The 16,848-nt window shown below is 45.1% G+C and overlaps 2 pseudogenes; one reads left to right on the top strand and one right to left on the bottom strand.

Moving 5' to 3' along the window:
• Positions 1-290: 290 nt before the first annotated feature.
• Positions 291-2,010, top strand: PLEKHA3P1 (pleckstrin homology domain containing A3 pseudogene 1; annotated as a pseudogene).
• TPM3P5 (tropomyosin 3 pseudogene 5) lies at positions 14,053-16,176 on the bottom strand (annotated as a pseudogene).

Below are 16,848 nucleotides of genomic sequence, written 5' to 3'. Positions count from 1 at the left end.
CGCGGCCGCCGCCGCCGAGGCTTACCCGGGGATGTCTGAGCCCGCGCCTCGCGGCCCCCAAGCTCCACGCTGCGCCCGCTGTCCCGGCCTCTAAGGGCCGCCACGTCCCTGCGGCGCGCGCAGGCAGAAAGCGGCTTCGTGCCGGCGGAGGGGGCCCGGGCGGGCCGGGAAAGGCTGCCCCAGGCCCCGCGCCTACCCCATCACCGCGGCCGGCGCCGGGCCGGGAGGATGAGCGGTGTGGGGCTCTGAAGCATGGAGGGGGTTTTGTACAAGTGGACCAACTATCTCACAGGTTGGCAGCCTCGTTGGTTTGTTTTAGATAATGGAATCTTATCCTATTATGATTCACAAGATGATGTTTGCAAAGGGAGCAAAGGAAGCATAAAGATGGCAGTTTGTGAAATTAAAGGTGACAGCTTTGGAGGGGACCACCCTTGATTGGATACATAAATTCTGTTCATTCAGCAGACAACACAAGAATGGAATTAATCATTCCTGGAGAGCAGCATTTCTACATGAAGGCAGTGAACGCAGCTGAAAGACAGAGGTGGCTGGTCGCTCTGGGGAGCTCCAAAGCATGTTTGACTGATACAAGGACTAAAAACGAAAAAGAAAGAAGTGAAACCAGTGAATCGCTGAAAACCAAAATGTCTGAACTTCGCCTCTACTGTGACCTCTTAATGCAGCAAGTTCATACGATACAGGAATTTGTTCACCACGATGAGAATCATTCATCTCCTAGTGCAGAGAACATCAATGAAGCCTCTTCTCTGCTTAGTGCCACGTGTAACACGTTCATCACAACGCTTGAGGAATGTGTGAAGATAGCCAATGCCAGGTTTAAACCTGAGATGTTTCAACGGCACCATCCGGATCCCTTAGTTTCTCCTGTGTCACCTTCTCCTGTTCAAATGAGGAAGCGTTCTGTCAGCCACCCTGGTTCTTGCACCAGGGAGGAGTAGCCACTGTATAAAAGAACCAGTATCTGCACTTCACCGACTCTCCCAGCGACGCCGAAGAACCTACTCAGATACAGATTCTTGTAGTGATATTCCTCTTGAAGACCCAGATAGACCTGTTCACTGTTCATAAAATACACTTAACGGAGATTTGGCATCAGCAACCATTCCTGAAGAAAGCAGACTTATGGCCAAAAAACAATCTGAATCAGAAGATACTCTTCCATCCTTCTCTTCCTGAAGAAACTGTAGTGTCCAACTTTCTCTAAGTATTGCTATGCAAAAGCTGCTGTAATTGAACTATTGTTATAGGGAGTAGTTTTTTCCCTTAGGACTCTGCACTTTATAGAATATTGTAAAACAGACAAACAAGAAAACAAACCACATACTTTTGAAGCGTGTTTTATCTTTATATAGTTTGTTTGCAAGAGTATTTTCCTAATAACTTCACAGTATGAATGTGCATCTTTTTTTTTTTTTTTTAACAAATGATGGTGTAACATTTTGACATCCATAAGGACAAATGTAGATATTTTTCTAAAAAACCGTGAGGGGACTGACAGCTTGGTCAGGGTGTATTGTAGCTTATAAACATGAAATCTTACAAGGTTTCAGTTTGACAGAAGTGTGATATATGTAACTTGTGCCATGGACCAAATGGTCACTTTACCACAGCTAAAAATGAGTTATGATAGCAGCTTGATGGTGATTGCATTGTATTCCTTTAATCAAAAAGGAAACGCAATATTCTAAGTATCTTTAGCCCAAATACCATGACATATTGAGCATCTTTAAATAACCAGACTGTATTGTCCTTCATATGTGAAGTTGACACTACTGATTTGTCAATACCAAATTTTGGGTTAAAGTGTTTAATTTTTATTTATTTATTTTCTTGTTGCCTCAAAAGATGATTGCATTCTAACTTTTGTGACCTACCAAATTTAAGATGTGTATACATTGTTCTTTACGTTGTTCTAGAAAAGAGATTTTAATGCTGTAGTGACTTAGCTCACTTACATCAGAGAAATAAACAACTTTCAATGGAAAAAAATATATATAAAGGAAGGAAGAGGATGATATTACTTCTCATATAGAAGGGGTTGTACACCCCCCTTGTGATATTGTTCCTAATATTCAGGGAGGGAGAGGATTATATTACTCCCAATATAGCAGGGAGTGTACACCCCCCCCCCCCGTGATAATGTTCCTAATATTCAGGGAAGCAGAGGATGATATTACTTTCAATATCACAGGGGTTGTGCTGTCCCCCTGTTATATTGTTCTTAATATTCAGGGGGGAGAGGATATTATTATGCCCGATATCACAGGAGAAGTACACCCCACAAGTGATATTGTTCCTAATATCCAGGGGTAAAGAGGATGATATCGCAGGTGGTGTACACCCCTCCCCGTGATATTGTTTCTAATATAAAGAAGGAGAGAGCATGATATTACTCCCAATATCGCTGGAGGTCTACACCCCCCTTGTGATACTGTTCCTAATATCCAGGAAGGGAAACAATGATATTGCTGTGAATATTCCAGGGGGTGTACACCCCTTTGTAATATTGTTCCTCATATCCAGGGGGTAGAGAGGATGATATTACTCCCAATATCGCAGGGGGTGCACGGCCCCACTGTGATATTGTTTTTCATATCCAGGAGGGGAGAGGATGACATTACTCTCAATATGGCAGGGGGCGAACACCCCCTGTGATATTGTGCTAGTTAGGTTGGGAGAAAATGATATTACTCCCAATATCGCAGGGGGTGTACACCGCTCCTGTGATATTGTTCCTAATATCCATGACGGGAGAGGATATTACTCCCAATATCGCAGGGGGTGTACCTCTCCCCTGTGGGATTGTTCACAGTATCCAAAAGGGAAGAGGATGATGTTACTCCCAATATCACAGGGGGTGTACACCACCATTGTGATATTGTTCCTAATAGCCAGGGAAGAAAACGATGATATTATTGTGAATATTACAGGGGGTGTACACACCCCCTGTGATATGGTTTTTAATATACAGGTTGGAAAAGGATGATATTACTCCCAATATCACAAAAGGTGTACACACCCCCCCATGATATTGTTCTTAATACTTCGGTGGGGAGAAAATGATATTAGTCTCCATATCACAGGGGTGTGAACTCCTCCGGTGATATTGTTTTTAATATCAAGAGGGGAGGAGATGATATTGCTTTCAATATCGCTGGGGGTGTACACCCCTCCTGTGATATTGTTCCTTATATCCAGGCGAGGGGAAAATAATATTACTCCCAATATGGCAGGGGGTGTACACACCCCATGTGGTATTGTTCCTAATACTCAGGGGGAAAGAAGATAATATTACTTTCAATATCACAGGGTTTGTACACCTTTCCTGTGGTATAGTTTTCAATATCCAGGGGGAAGGTACATGATATTACTCCCATTGCAGCAAGGGGTGTACACACCTCCTGTGATATTGTTCCTAATATCCAGAAGTGGTGAGGATGATATTACTCCCAGGGGGTGTACACCCCACCTATGATATTGTTTCTAATATCCAGGGGAAAAGAGTGTGATATTATGCCCAATATCGCAGAGGGTGTACACTTATCCTGGGATATTGTTTCTAGTATTTGGGGAGGGAGGAGAGGATGCTATTATTCTCAATATCGCAGAAATTGTACACCCCCGCTGTGATATTCTTCATAATAATCAGGGAAAAAGAGGATGATATTACTACCAATATTGCAGGGGGTTACACTTCCCCTTTGGTAGTGTTCCTAATATCCAGGAAGAAAGAGGATGATATTAATCCCATTTTCCAGGAAGTGTACACCCACCGTGTCATGTTGTTCCTAATATCCAGCAGGGAAGAGGATGATATTACTCCCAATATCGGAGAGGGTGTACACTTCCCCTGTTATATTGTTTCTAATACCCAGGGGGAAGAAGGATGACATTACTGCCAATATCACAGGGTGTGTACCCCACCCTGCTATTGTTCCTAATATTCAAAAGGAAAGATGAAAATATTACTCCCAATATCTCAGGGTGTGTACACCTCTCCTGTGATATCGTTCCTAATATCCACAGGAAGAGAGAATATTACTCTCAATATTGCAGGGGGGTGTACACCCCCCTGTGATATTGTTCCAAATATTCGGGCGGGGAGAGGATGATATTAGTCCCAATATCGCAGGGGGTGTGCACCAACCTGTGATATTGTTCCTAATATCCATGCGGGGGAGGACGATATCACTCTCAATGTCGCAGGAAGTGTACACCTCTCTTGTTATATTTTTCTTAATATCCAGGAGGGAAAAGATGATATTACTGCCAATATCGCAGGGTGTGTCCACCCCCCTTTTATATTGTTCCTAATATCCAATGGAAAAGAGGATGACATTGCTCTCCATATCCCAGAAGGTGTACAACGCCCCTGTAATATTGTTCCTAATATTTTGGGGGAAGAGAGGATGATATAACTTATAATATCACAGGAGGTGTACACCACCCCTATGTATTGTTCCTAATATCCTTTAAGGGAGAGGATGATATTACTCCCAATATCTCAGGTGGTGCCTATTCCCCCTGTGATATTGTTTTTAATATCCAGGGGAAGAGAGTATGATATTACGCCCAATATCGCAGGGGGCATACACCCTCTCTGAGATATTGTTCATAATATATAGAGGGAGAGAGGATGATATTACTTCCAATATCAGAGGTGGGGTACACCCCCCGGTTATATTATTCTTGATATCCAGGAGGGGAGAGGTTGATATTACTGGATATATAGCAGGGAGTGTTCACATCTTCTGTGATACTGTTCCTAATATCCAGAAAAGTAGAGGATGATATTACTCCCAATATCGCAGAACGTGTACACCTCCCTGTGATATTGATCCTAACATTCAAAGGGGAGAGGATGATATTACTCAAAACATCACAGGGCATGTACACTCCCCTGTGATATTGTTCCTAGTATCCAGAAGGGAGCAAGATAATATTACTTTCAATATCGCAGGGGGTGTACACCCCTCTTTGGTATGTTTCCTAATATCCAGAAGGAAAGAGGGTGCTATTACTTTCCATATTGCAAGGGGTGTACACCCCCCTGTGGTATGGTTCATAATATCCAGGGAGGGAAAGGGTGCTATTATTCCCCATATCGCGAGGCATGTACACCCTGCTGCGGTACGGTTCCTAATATCCAGGGGGAAAGAGGATGCTATTACTTCCCATATCGCGGGGTGTGTACACCCCCGTGTGGTATGTTTTGTAATCTCCGGGAACGAAGAGGGTGTTATTACCCCTCATATCGCTGGAAATGTACACTCCCCTGTGGTACGGTTCACAATATCCAGGGGATTGAGGGTGCTATTACTCCCCATATCGCGGGGGGAGTGCACCTCCCTGTGGTATGGTTCGAAATATCCAGGGTAAGAGAGGGTGCTATTATTCCCCATTTTGCAGGAGGCGTACACCCCTCTATGGTATGTTTTGTAATATCCCAGGTAAGGGGTGCTATTGAGAGAAGAGAGCAAAAGACCCCCCCCATATTGTTCTGTATTATTTTATACTCAGTACCTGTTTTAAGAAGAAACAAGGAAGCGAAACCAAAGGCAGGCAGCCCGGCGCCAGGCACCAGATCCAAAACCAGACCCGAAACCAGGCCTGGGCCTTCCTGACCTTAGCCTGAAAGTTAAAATTCAACCCATGACCTAGCAACTGATGTTATCCATAGATTCCAGACATTGTATGGAAGGACATTGTGAAATTTCTTGTTCTGTTCTGTTTCACTCTGAGTACTGGTGCATGCAGCCCTTGTCACATACCCACTAGATTGCTCAATCAATCATGGCCCTTTCATGTAAAAACCTTAGTGTTGTGAGCCCTTAAAAAGGACAGAAATTGTGCACTCAACAAGCTTGGATTTTGATACTCTAGTCTGCTGATGCTTCCAGCTGATTAAAAGCCACTTCCTTCACTACCTCGGTGTCTGTGGGATTTTGTCCGCGGCTCCTCCTGCTACACTGTGACTCCCCTTATAGAGAGGGGTGTACACCCCCCTTTGGTTCCTAATATCCAGCGGGGGAGTAGGTGCTATTACTCCCCATATTGCGGGGAGTGTACACCCCCTTGTAGTACGGATCGTAAAATCAAGGAGGGAGAGAAGGTGTAATTATCCCCATATCACAGGGAGTGTACACCTCTTTGTGGTATAGTTTGTAATATCCACGACGGGAGAGAATGCTATTACTCCCCATATCGTGGAGGGTGTACACCGCCCTGTAGTATGGTTCGTAATATCCGGAAGGGGAGAGGTTGCTATTACTCCCCATATGGTGGGAAGTGTACACCCCCATATGATATGGTTCATAATATCCAGGGGGGTAGAGGATGATATTACTCACAATATCGTAGAAGGTGCACACCCTTTTGTGATATTGTCCATAAAATCCAGAAGGGGAGAGGATGATATTACTTCCAATATCACAGGGGGTGTGTAGCCCCATATGATATTGTTTGTAATATCAAGGTAGGGAGAGGATGCTATTCCTTACAATAGCTCAAGGGGTGTAACCTTCTTGTGATATTGTTTGTAATATCCAGAAGGGGAGAAGATAATTTTTTTATTTTAAAAGTAAACTTTAATGTCAAAAATGCAAACTTGAGAAGGGCAGAAAGATCAAACAGAAGGCTGCCACTTCACAATTGGAGGGTTGCACAGTGGCCGGGCAGAGGCGCTCCTCACTCCCCAGACGGTGAGGCAGCCGGGCAGAGGTGCTCCTCACTTCCGAGATGTTGCAGGAGCCGGGCAGAGGTGCTCCTCACTTCCCAGAACAGGGGGCTGCCGGGCAGAGGTGCTCCTCACTGCCCAGACGGTTTGCAGGCCTGGCAGAGGCACTCCTCACTTCCCAAACGGAGCAGCGGCAAGCCAGAGGCGCTCCACACTTCCCAGATGGTGGGGCAGCCGGGCAGAGGCGATCCTCACTTCTCAGAGGGTAGGGCGGCCCAGCAGAGGCGCTCCTCACTTCCCACATGGTGGGGCGGCAGGCTAGAGGCGATCCTCACTTCCCAGACGGTGGTGTGGCCATGCAGAGGTGCTCCTCACTTCCCAGATGGTGTGGCCGCCGAGCTGAGGCACTCCTCACTTCCCTGACAGTGGGGCGGCTGGGCAGAGGCGCTCCTCACTTCCCAGACACTTGGACTCCGGGCAGAGACTCTCCTCATTTCCCAGATGGTGGGGCTGCCGGGCAGAGGCGCTCCTCACTTCCCAGACGGTTCAGAGGCCGGGCAGAGGCGCTCTGGGGAGAGGATAATGTTACTCCCAATATCGCAGGGGGTGCACACTCCCTGTGATATTGTTCCGAATATCCAGAGGGGGAAAGGATGATATAGCTCCCAAAATCGTGGGGAGTGTACACCCCCCTGTGATCTTGTTTGTAATACCAAGAAGAAAAGAGAATGCTATTATTTCCAATATAGCAGGGGGAGTACAACCCCCTGTGATATTGTTCGTAATATCTAGGGGGAGAGAAAATTATATTAGTCTTAATATCTCAGGGGACGTTCATCCCCCTGTAATATTGTTGGTAATATTCAGAATGGAGAAGATGATATTGTTCTTAAAATACAGGAAAAAAATATGATAATATTACTTCCAATATCGAAGGGGGTGTACACTCTCCTGTGATATTGTTCCCAATATCCGGAATGAAAGAGGATGCTATTACTCCCAATATCCCAGGGAGTGTACACCCCTTTGCCATATTGTTCATAATATCCAGGGGAAGACAGGATAACATTACTCCCAATATCACCGGGGGTGTCCACCCACTAGTGATATTTATTGTTCATCATATCCAGAAAAGGAGAGGATGATATTACTCCCAATATTGCAGGTGGTGTACGGTCCCTGTGATATTCTTTGAAATATCTAGAAAAGGAGAGGATGATATCACTCCGAGTATCACAGGGGGTGTACACCCCCCTGTGATATTGTTCGTAATATCCAGGGGAGAAAAGGATGATATAATTGCCAATATTTCAGGGGATGTGCACCTCCCTGTGATATTGTTTGTAATATCCAGGGGTGGAGAGGATGATATTACTCAAAATAACGTAAACATCCTGTGTGTACATCCCCTGTGATATTGTTTATAATATCCAGGGGGGTAGAAGATGACATTACCCCCAATATCACAGAGTGTACACACCCCTGGGATACTGTTCATAATATCCAGGCGGGAAAGAATGAACTACTTCCAATATCGCAGGATATGTACACCCCCCTGTGATATATTTCCTAATATTTATGTGGGTAAGGATATTACCCCCAATATCACAGAAGGTGTACATCCTCTTTGTGATATTATTCCTAACATCCAGGAAAGGAGAGAATGATATTACTCCCAGTATCGCAGGGGGTGTACACCACCCCTGTGATATTGTTGCTAATATCCAGGGGGAGAGGATAATATTACTCCCAAAATCACAGGGGACGTACACTCCTCCTGAGATATTGTTCCTAATATTCATGGAGAAAAGAATGCTACTACTCCAAATACAGCAGAGGGTGTACACCATCCCCGTGATATTGTTTTTTATATCCAAAGGGTGAAAGGCTGATATTACTCCCAATATCGCAGGGGGTGTACAGGCCCCCCATGATATCATTCTTAATATCCAGGGAGGCAAAGAATGATGTTACTCCCAATATTGCAGGCTGTATACACCCCCCGTGATATTGTTCCTAATATCCAGAGTAAGAGAGGATGACATTGCTCCCAATATTGCAGGGGTTGCACGCACGCCCTGTGATAATATTACTCCCAATATCAACAGTGGGTGTACACTCCTCCTGTGATATTGTTTGTTATATCTAAGAAAGAAGAGGATGATATTACTGTCAATATCACAGAAGGTGTACAGCCCCTTGTGATGTTGTTTCTAATATCCAGCGGTGAGAGGATGGTATTACTCGCAATATTGTAGGGGGTGTCCAACGGCCCTGTGATATTGTTTCTCATATTCAAAAAGGAAAAGAATAATATAACTCCAAATATCGCAGGGTGTGTACACTTCCCTGTGATATTGATCCTAATATCCAGGAAGAGAGAGGATGATATTAATCCCAATATCACAGGGGGTGTACATCGCTTCTGTGATATTCTTCCTAATATCCAGGGGGGGAGGGGATGCTATTACTCTTAAAATCGCAGGGAACTTACACTCCCACTATGATATTTTTCCTAATATCCAGGAAGGGAGAAAATGATATTACTCCTAATATCACATATCACAATGGGTGTACATCTCCCCGTGATATTGTTTCTAATATCAAGGATGGGAGAAAATTATATTACTCTCAATATCGCAGGGGGTGTGCACACCTCCTGTGATATTGTTCCTAGTATCCAGCGGAGGAGATGATATTACTTTAAATATTGTAGAAGGTGTACAACCTCCCTTTGATATTGTTCCTAATATCCAGGGGGAAAGGAGATGATATTACTCCTAATATCGCAGGGGCTGTACAACCCTATGTGATATTGTTTCTTCTAATATCCAGGGGTGGAGAAGATAATATTACTCCTAAAATCGAAGGGGACATACACTCCCCCTGTGATATTTTTCCTAATATCCAGAAGGAAAGAGGATGATATTACTCCTAATATTACAAGAAATGTATACCTGTCCTGTGATATTGTTCCTAATATCCAGAGGGGTAAATGATTATATTACTCCCAATATCGCAGGGGTGTACACCTTCCCTGAGATATTGTTTCTAATATGCAGTGGAGGAGAGGATGGTATTACTCCCAACATCACAGGAGATGTAAACTCCCCTTGTGATATTCTTCCTAATGTTCAGGACGAAGGAGGGTAATATTACTCACTGTATTGCAGCAGGGGGTGTAGAGCCCCCTGTGATATTGTTTTTAATATTCAAGGTTGGAGAAAATAATATTCCTTCCAATATCGCATGGGGTGTACACCCTTCTTTTTATATAGTTTCTAATATCTGGGGGGAGAGGATGATATTACTCCCAATATCGCAGGGGGATTACACCCCCACTGTGATATTGTTTTTAATATCCAGGGTGGGAGAGGATAATATTACTCCAAATATCCCAGGGCTATACACCCTCCGTGTGATATTGTTTCTAATATCCAGAGGAAGAGAAGATGATATTACTCCCAATGTCACAGGGTGTGTACAGGCCTTCTTTGATATTGTTCTTAATATCCATGAGGGAGAGGATGATATTACTCCCAATATCGCAAAGACTGTACACCCTTTCTGTGATATTGCTTCCAATATCCAGGGAGGGAGAGGATATTACACTCAGGATCACAGGGGGTGTACACCCCAACCTGTGATATTGTTTCTAATATCTAGGGAAAATGAGGGTGATATTACTATCAATATCACAGGAGGTGTACACTCCCTTATGATATTGTTCCTAATATCCAGGAGAATGACAGGATAATATTACTCCCAATATCGCGGGTGGTGTCTCCCCCCACTCCGTGATATTGTTCCTAATACCCAGAGGGGGAGAGAATCATATTACTCCCAATATCGCAGGGGATGTACACCTACATCCGGCGGAGTAGAAGATAATATTACTCACAATATCGCAAGAAGTGTTCACCTTCCCTGTTATATTGTTGCTAATATCCAGGGAGTGAGAAGATGATATTACTTTCAATACTGAGCGTGTACACTACCCCTGTGATATTGTTTCTCATATCCAGTAGAGGAGAAAATCATGTTACTCCCAATATTGCAGGGGTGAACACCTCCTTTGTGATATTTTTCCTAATATCAGGAAAGGGAGAGTATGATATTACCCTTAATATTGACAGGGGTGTACACCCCCCTTTGATATTGTTCCAATATCCAGGGGGGCAGAGGATAATATTATTCCCAATATCGCAGAGGGTGTACACCCCCCGTGATATTGTTCCTAATATCCAGAGAAATAAAAAATAGTATTATTTCCAATATCACAGGGCGTACATTTTCCCTGTAATTTTGTTCCTAATATCTGGGGGGTGGGGTGGCAGGATAATATTACTCTCAATATTGGAGAGGGTGTACACCCCCCTGTGATATTGTTCCTAATATTCAGGGTGGGAGAGAATGATGTTACTCCCAATATCTCAGGAGTCGTATACACCCCCTTGTGATATTTTTTCTAATATCCAGGAGGCAGAGGATGATATTGCTCCCAATATCGCAGGGGGTATACACCCGAGCTGTGATATTGTTTCTAATATGCAATATGGGGGAAGGATGATTTTACTTTCAATATCGCAGGGAATGTACACTTTCCTTGTGATTTTGTTCCTAATATCCAGGGGTGGAGAAGATGCTATTACTATATTACTCCTCATATCGCAGGCGGTGTACAACTCCCTGTGATATGGTTCAGAATATCCAGAGTGAAAAAGGAGGGTGACATTACTCCCAATATCGGGGGGGTGTACACCCCTTTGTGATGTGGTTGGTAATATCCAGGGGGGCAGATGAGGGTGATATCACTCCCCATATCGTGGAAGGCGTCCACTTTTTTGTGATGTGGTTCTTTATATCCCGAGGGGAGAAGGTGATATTACTCCCCATATCGCGAAGGGCATACACCCCCCTGTGATATAGCTCATAATATTCCGGAGAGTGGAGGAAGATACTATGCCCTATATCGCGGGTGGCCTACAACCCCCTATGGTTTGGCTTATAATATCCAGGGGGGAGAGGGTAATATTACTCCCCATATTGTGGAGACGTACAGCCCCCTGTGATATGGTTTGTAATATCTTTGGGGGGCGAGGGTGATATTACTCCCCATATCGCGGGGAGCATACACCCCCGTGATCTGGTTCATAGTATCTCAAAGGAAGAAGTTGATGTGTACAACTTAAGGGAAAAAGTTGAAGTGAAGTGTACACACGCCCTGTGACGTGGTTCATAATATCCAGGCGGGGGAGAGGAGAGTGATATTTACTCCCCATATCGCGGGTGTTGTAAACTCCCCTGTGATATAGTTCATAATATCCAGGGGAGAGAGGAGGGTGATATTGCTCCTCATATCGCGAAGGGTGTACAACCCCCTGTGATATGGTTCATAATATCCAGAAGGGTAGAGGACGATGATATTACTCCACATATCTTGGGAGGTGTGATAATCAGGGGGCGTGCACTCTTCTGTGGTATAATTAGTAATATCCAGGGGGCAGAGGAGGAGTCGTTTCCATATCATGAAGGGAGTACACTTCCCTGTGATATGGTTCCTAATATCCAGGGGGGAGAGGGTGATATTATTCCCCATATTGCGGGGGGACATACAACCCCTGTGATATGGTTCATAATAACCAGAAAAGAAGAGGGTGATATTAATCCCCGTATTGCAGAGGGCATACACCCCCCCTGTGATATGGTTTGTAATATCTAGGGGAGGAAAAGGTGATATTACTTTCCATATTGCTGGGTGCAGACACCCCTTTATGATATGGTTCATAATATCCAAGTTGGAGAGGGTGATATTACTTCCCATATCATGGGAGGTATACCCTTCCCTGTGATATGGTTCGTAATATCCAGAAGGGGAGAGATTGATATTACTCCCCATATTGTGGGGGGCGTACACCTTCCTGTGATATGGTTTGTAATATCTAGGGGATATAGTGGGTGATATTACTCACCATATCACGGGGGTTGTAACATGGTTTGTAATATCCAGGGGAGGAGAGGGTAATGTTACTCCCCATATCTCGGGGCATGTACACCCTCCTGTGACATGGTTCGTAATATCCAGGTCGGGAGAGGGTGATATTACTCCTCATATTGCCGGGGGTGTGTTATGGTTCATAATATCCTGGGGAAGGAGGCTGCTATCACTCTCCACATCTTGGGGGATGTACACTCTCCTGTGATATGGTTCATAATATCCAGGGTGGGTGAGGGTAATATTACTCCCCATATCGCGGGAAGTGTACATACCCCTGTAATATTGTTTGTAATAGAAGAGAGGGTGATATTACTCCCCACATCGCGGGTGGTGCCCACCCCCCTGTGATATGGTTTGGAATATCCAGGGGGATGAGGAGGGTGATATTACTCCCCATATCTCGGTGGGAGTACATCCCTCTTTGATCAAGTTCATAATATCCAAAAGGAAACAGGAGAGTGATATTACTCCCCATATCGCCGGGGGTGTACACGGGAGGGGGAGTACACCCCCGGCGATATGGTCTGTAATATCCAGGGAAGGAGAGGAGGGTGATATTACTCACCATATCGCAGGTGGTCTACATTTACCTGTGAAACAGTTTGTAATATCCAGGGGGGGAAATGAGAATGATTTTTTTTTTTTGAGTCTCACTGTGTCACCCAGGTTGGAGTGCAGTGGCACGATCTTGGCTCACTGCAACCCCCGCCTCCTGGACTCAAGCAATTCTCCTCTCCCAGCCTCCTGAATAGCTGGGACTACAGGCGCACCCCACAACGTCTGGCTAATTTTTGTATTTTTATTAGAGACGGGGTTTCACCATATTGGCCAGGCTGATCTCGAACTCCTGACCCTGTGATCCATCCGCCTCGGCCTCCAAAAGTGCTGAGATTACAGATGTGAGCCACCACGCATGGCCCAAGGAGAACGATATTACTCCCCATATCCCAGGGGGTGTATATCCCCCTGTGATATGGTTCAGAATATCCGGAAGGAAAGACAGGGATATTACTTCCCATATCGCAAGGGGTGTGACATGGTTCGTAATATCCCATGGGGGAGAGGGTAATATTACTCTTCGTATTGTGAAGGGCATACACTCCCCTGTGATACAGTTCATAATATTCCGGGGAGTAGAGGAAGATATTATGCTCCATATCGCGGGTGGCATAAGCCCCCTGTGGTTTGGTTCATAATATCCAGGGAGGAGAGGGTAATATTACTCCCCATATTGTGGGGACGTACACCCTCCTGTGATATGGTTTGTAATATCCCAGAGGGGAGAGAGTGATATTACTCCCCATATTGCAGGGACATACACCCCCCTGTGATATGGTTCAAAATGTCTTTTTTTTTTGAAGGACTGGTTCTTTATTTCAAAAAGACACTTGTCAATATTCATTAACAAAACAGTTGCACTATTGATTTCTCTTTCTCCCAATCGGCCCCAAGTAGACCACATCAAAGGAGAGTACATATTAAGCCAATAAGCTGTAGGATGTACACCTAACAGACCTCCTAGAAACCTTACCAGAAAATGGGGACAGGGTAGGGAAAGAAACTTTAAAAGATCAACAAACTGCCAGCCCACGGACTGCAGGGGCTGTCACAGCCAGATGGGGTGGCCAGGGTGCCACAAACCCAAAGAAGCAAAGTTTCAAAATAATATAAAATTTAAAAAGTTTTGTACATAAGCTATTCAAGATTTCTCCAGCACTGACTGATACAAAGCACAATGAGATGGCACTTGTAGAGACAGCAGCTTCAAACTCAGAAAAGGGTAATGAGATGAGTTTCACATGGCTAAATCAGTGGCAAAAACACAATCTTCTTTCTTTCTTTCTTTCTTTCAAGGAGGCAAGAAAAGCAATTAAGTGCTCACCTCAACATAAGGGGAACATGATCCATTCTGTAAGCAGTTGGGAGGGGGTAGAGATGGAACAAAATTTTGGTCTCAGAGGTCTTGCCATCTTAATTTGGTCACTTCTAATGAAAAAAATAAAAAATAGAAATAACATTATCCAAAGGTATCTTAAAGCTGAAAACTTGAACAGCACATTTTTTGTTGTTGTTGTTTGGCTAACTCCTCCTGGAACCACCTTTCTGGCTTAGCTAGTACTTTGTACAGAGCAATGAGGCTTCCCATAGTGGAGTCTCCCTGGGCTCTGTTTGGCTCTCAGCAAGGCAGGCCTATACCTTTTCCTCTCCTCCATGGAGAGAGGAATATGCATTAAGGTGAAAAGTCACCTTCCAAAAGTGAGAAAGGGATTCGATCGCTGCTTCAGGGCTGTGGTATTATATGGAATGTTTTACAAAAGGTTGCTACAAAACAACAAAAGAGGTAATTACAAAATGTGTACATCACAACATACTTTTTAAAGACATTATGCATTGTGCTCACATTCCCTTAAATGTTGTTTCCAAAGGTGCTCAGCCTCTAGCCCAGCTGGAATCTCCGGGAAGAGGCGGACAGTTTGGTGAAAAAGACACAGGGAAGGAGCGGGCGGCGGAAGGAGGGGGCGGCGAAAGGAGAAAGCAGCCTTCCAGTTAAAGATCAGCCCTCAATTAAAGGTCAGCTTCGGGCAGGCTGGCCTCAGGCGGAGTCTGGTTCAGAGGGAGGAGCAGCAGCAGGGTGAGACTGAGGCGTTCTACATCTCATTCAGGTCAAGCAGAGTCTGGTCCAGCATCCTTTGTGTACAGAGGTGCTCCCCTTTGGTGCATTTCAGTTTATCTTCCAAGTCATCAATTGTCTTTTCCAGCTTGGCTACCGATCTCTCAGCAAACTCAGCATGGGTCTCCGCCTCCTTTATTTTATCAGTAAGAATCTTGATCTCTTCCTCATATTTGTCTTCTTTTTGAGAGTACTTTTCTTCAGCAGCACTCAGACACTTCAGGTTCTGGTCCATCAGTCTAATCTGCTCATCCATCTCTCGGCAAAGGGATTCTGCCAGCTCAGCTCGTTCCTCTGTGCGTTCCAAGTCTCCTTCAATGATCACCAACTTACGAGCCACCTCTTCATACTTCCTATCTGCCTCTTCTGCAATGTGCTTAGCTTCTCTGAGTTGGATTTCCTGGAGTTCCATCTTTTCTTCATCTTTTAAGGCCCGGTTTTCAATAACCTTCTTACCTCTCTCACTCTCATCAGCAGCTTTTTCCGCTTCTTCCAGCTTTTGCAGGGCAGTAGCCAGGTGCTCCTGAGCACGGTCCAGCTCCTCTTCAACCAGCTGGATCCCACGTTCAAGGAGGCCACCTCAGCCTCAGCCTGTTCCCGGGCCCACCTTTCTCCCTCAACTTCTCGCTGGAGGCGCTCAGCTCGCTCCTCTGCATCATCTGCCTGCTGCTGCAGAACCTGGATCTTGCGCTTCACCGCCTCGATGGTGGTGATCCCAGCCATGGTGCCCACCCAGCTACTGCTAGAGCTCCGGTTCCTGCCTCCTCCGATCGGCGTTGCAGCCTCCTCTCACCCTTACTTCCGCCTCGGTTCAAAATATCTTAAGGGAAGGAGTTGATATTACTCCCCACATCACGGGAAGTTTACATCCCCTGGTGATATGGTTTGTAATATCCCAGGGTGGATAGGGTGATATTACTCTCCATATCGCGAAGGAGTACTCCCCCCTGTGATATGGTTCATAATATCCTTGGGGGGAGAGTGTGATATTACTCCCCATATCGCGAGGGCCATATACTCCTTTGTGACATGGTTCGAAATATCCCGGTGGGGGAGGGGGTAGAGGGTAATATTACTCCCCATACAGCGAAGAGCATACGCCCTTCTGTGGCAAGGTTAGTAATACTTCAGGGAAAAGAGTGCAATATTACTTTTCATATTGCAGGGAACATACACTCCCCTGTGACATGGTTCGTAATATCCCGGGGGCTGAGAGGGTGATATTTCTCCCCATATCACCGGGGGCCTACACCTGGGTGTGATATGGCTCATAATATACAGGGAGGGAGAGGGTGATATTACTCCACATACCGAGTGAGGGGTTACACACCCTCGTGACATGTTCGAAATACCCCAAGGAGGAGACAATGATATTACTTTCCCTGTCGCGGGGGCTACACCCTCCCAGTGATATGGTTCACAATATCCCGGGGTGGAGAGGGTGATATTACTCCCTATATCACCGGGGGGTGTACACTT

The sequence above is a fragment of the Homo sapiens genome, chromosome 19 (assembly GCF_000001405.40).
Source record: "Homo sapiens chromosome 19, GRCh38.p14 Primary Assembly".
In the NCBI taxonomy this organism is placed as follows: Eukaryota; Metazoa; Chordata; class Mammalia; order Primates; family Hominidae; genus Homo; species Homo sapiens.
The sequence above is the reverse complement of the archived record's forward strand: the minus strand, read 5'-3'. Positions and strand labels throughout refer to the sequence as shown.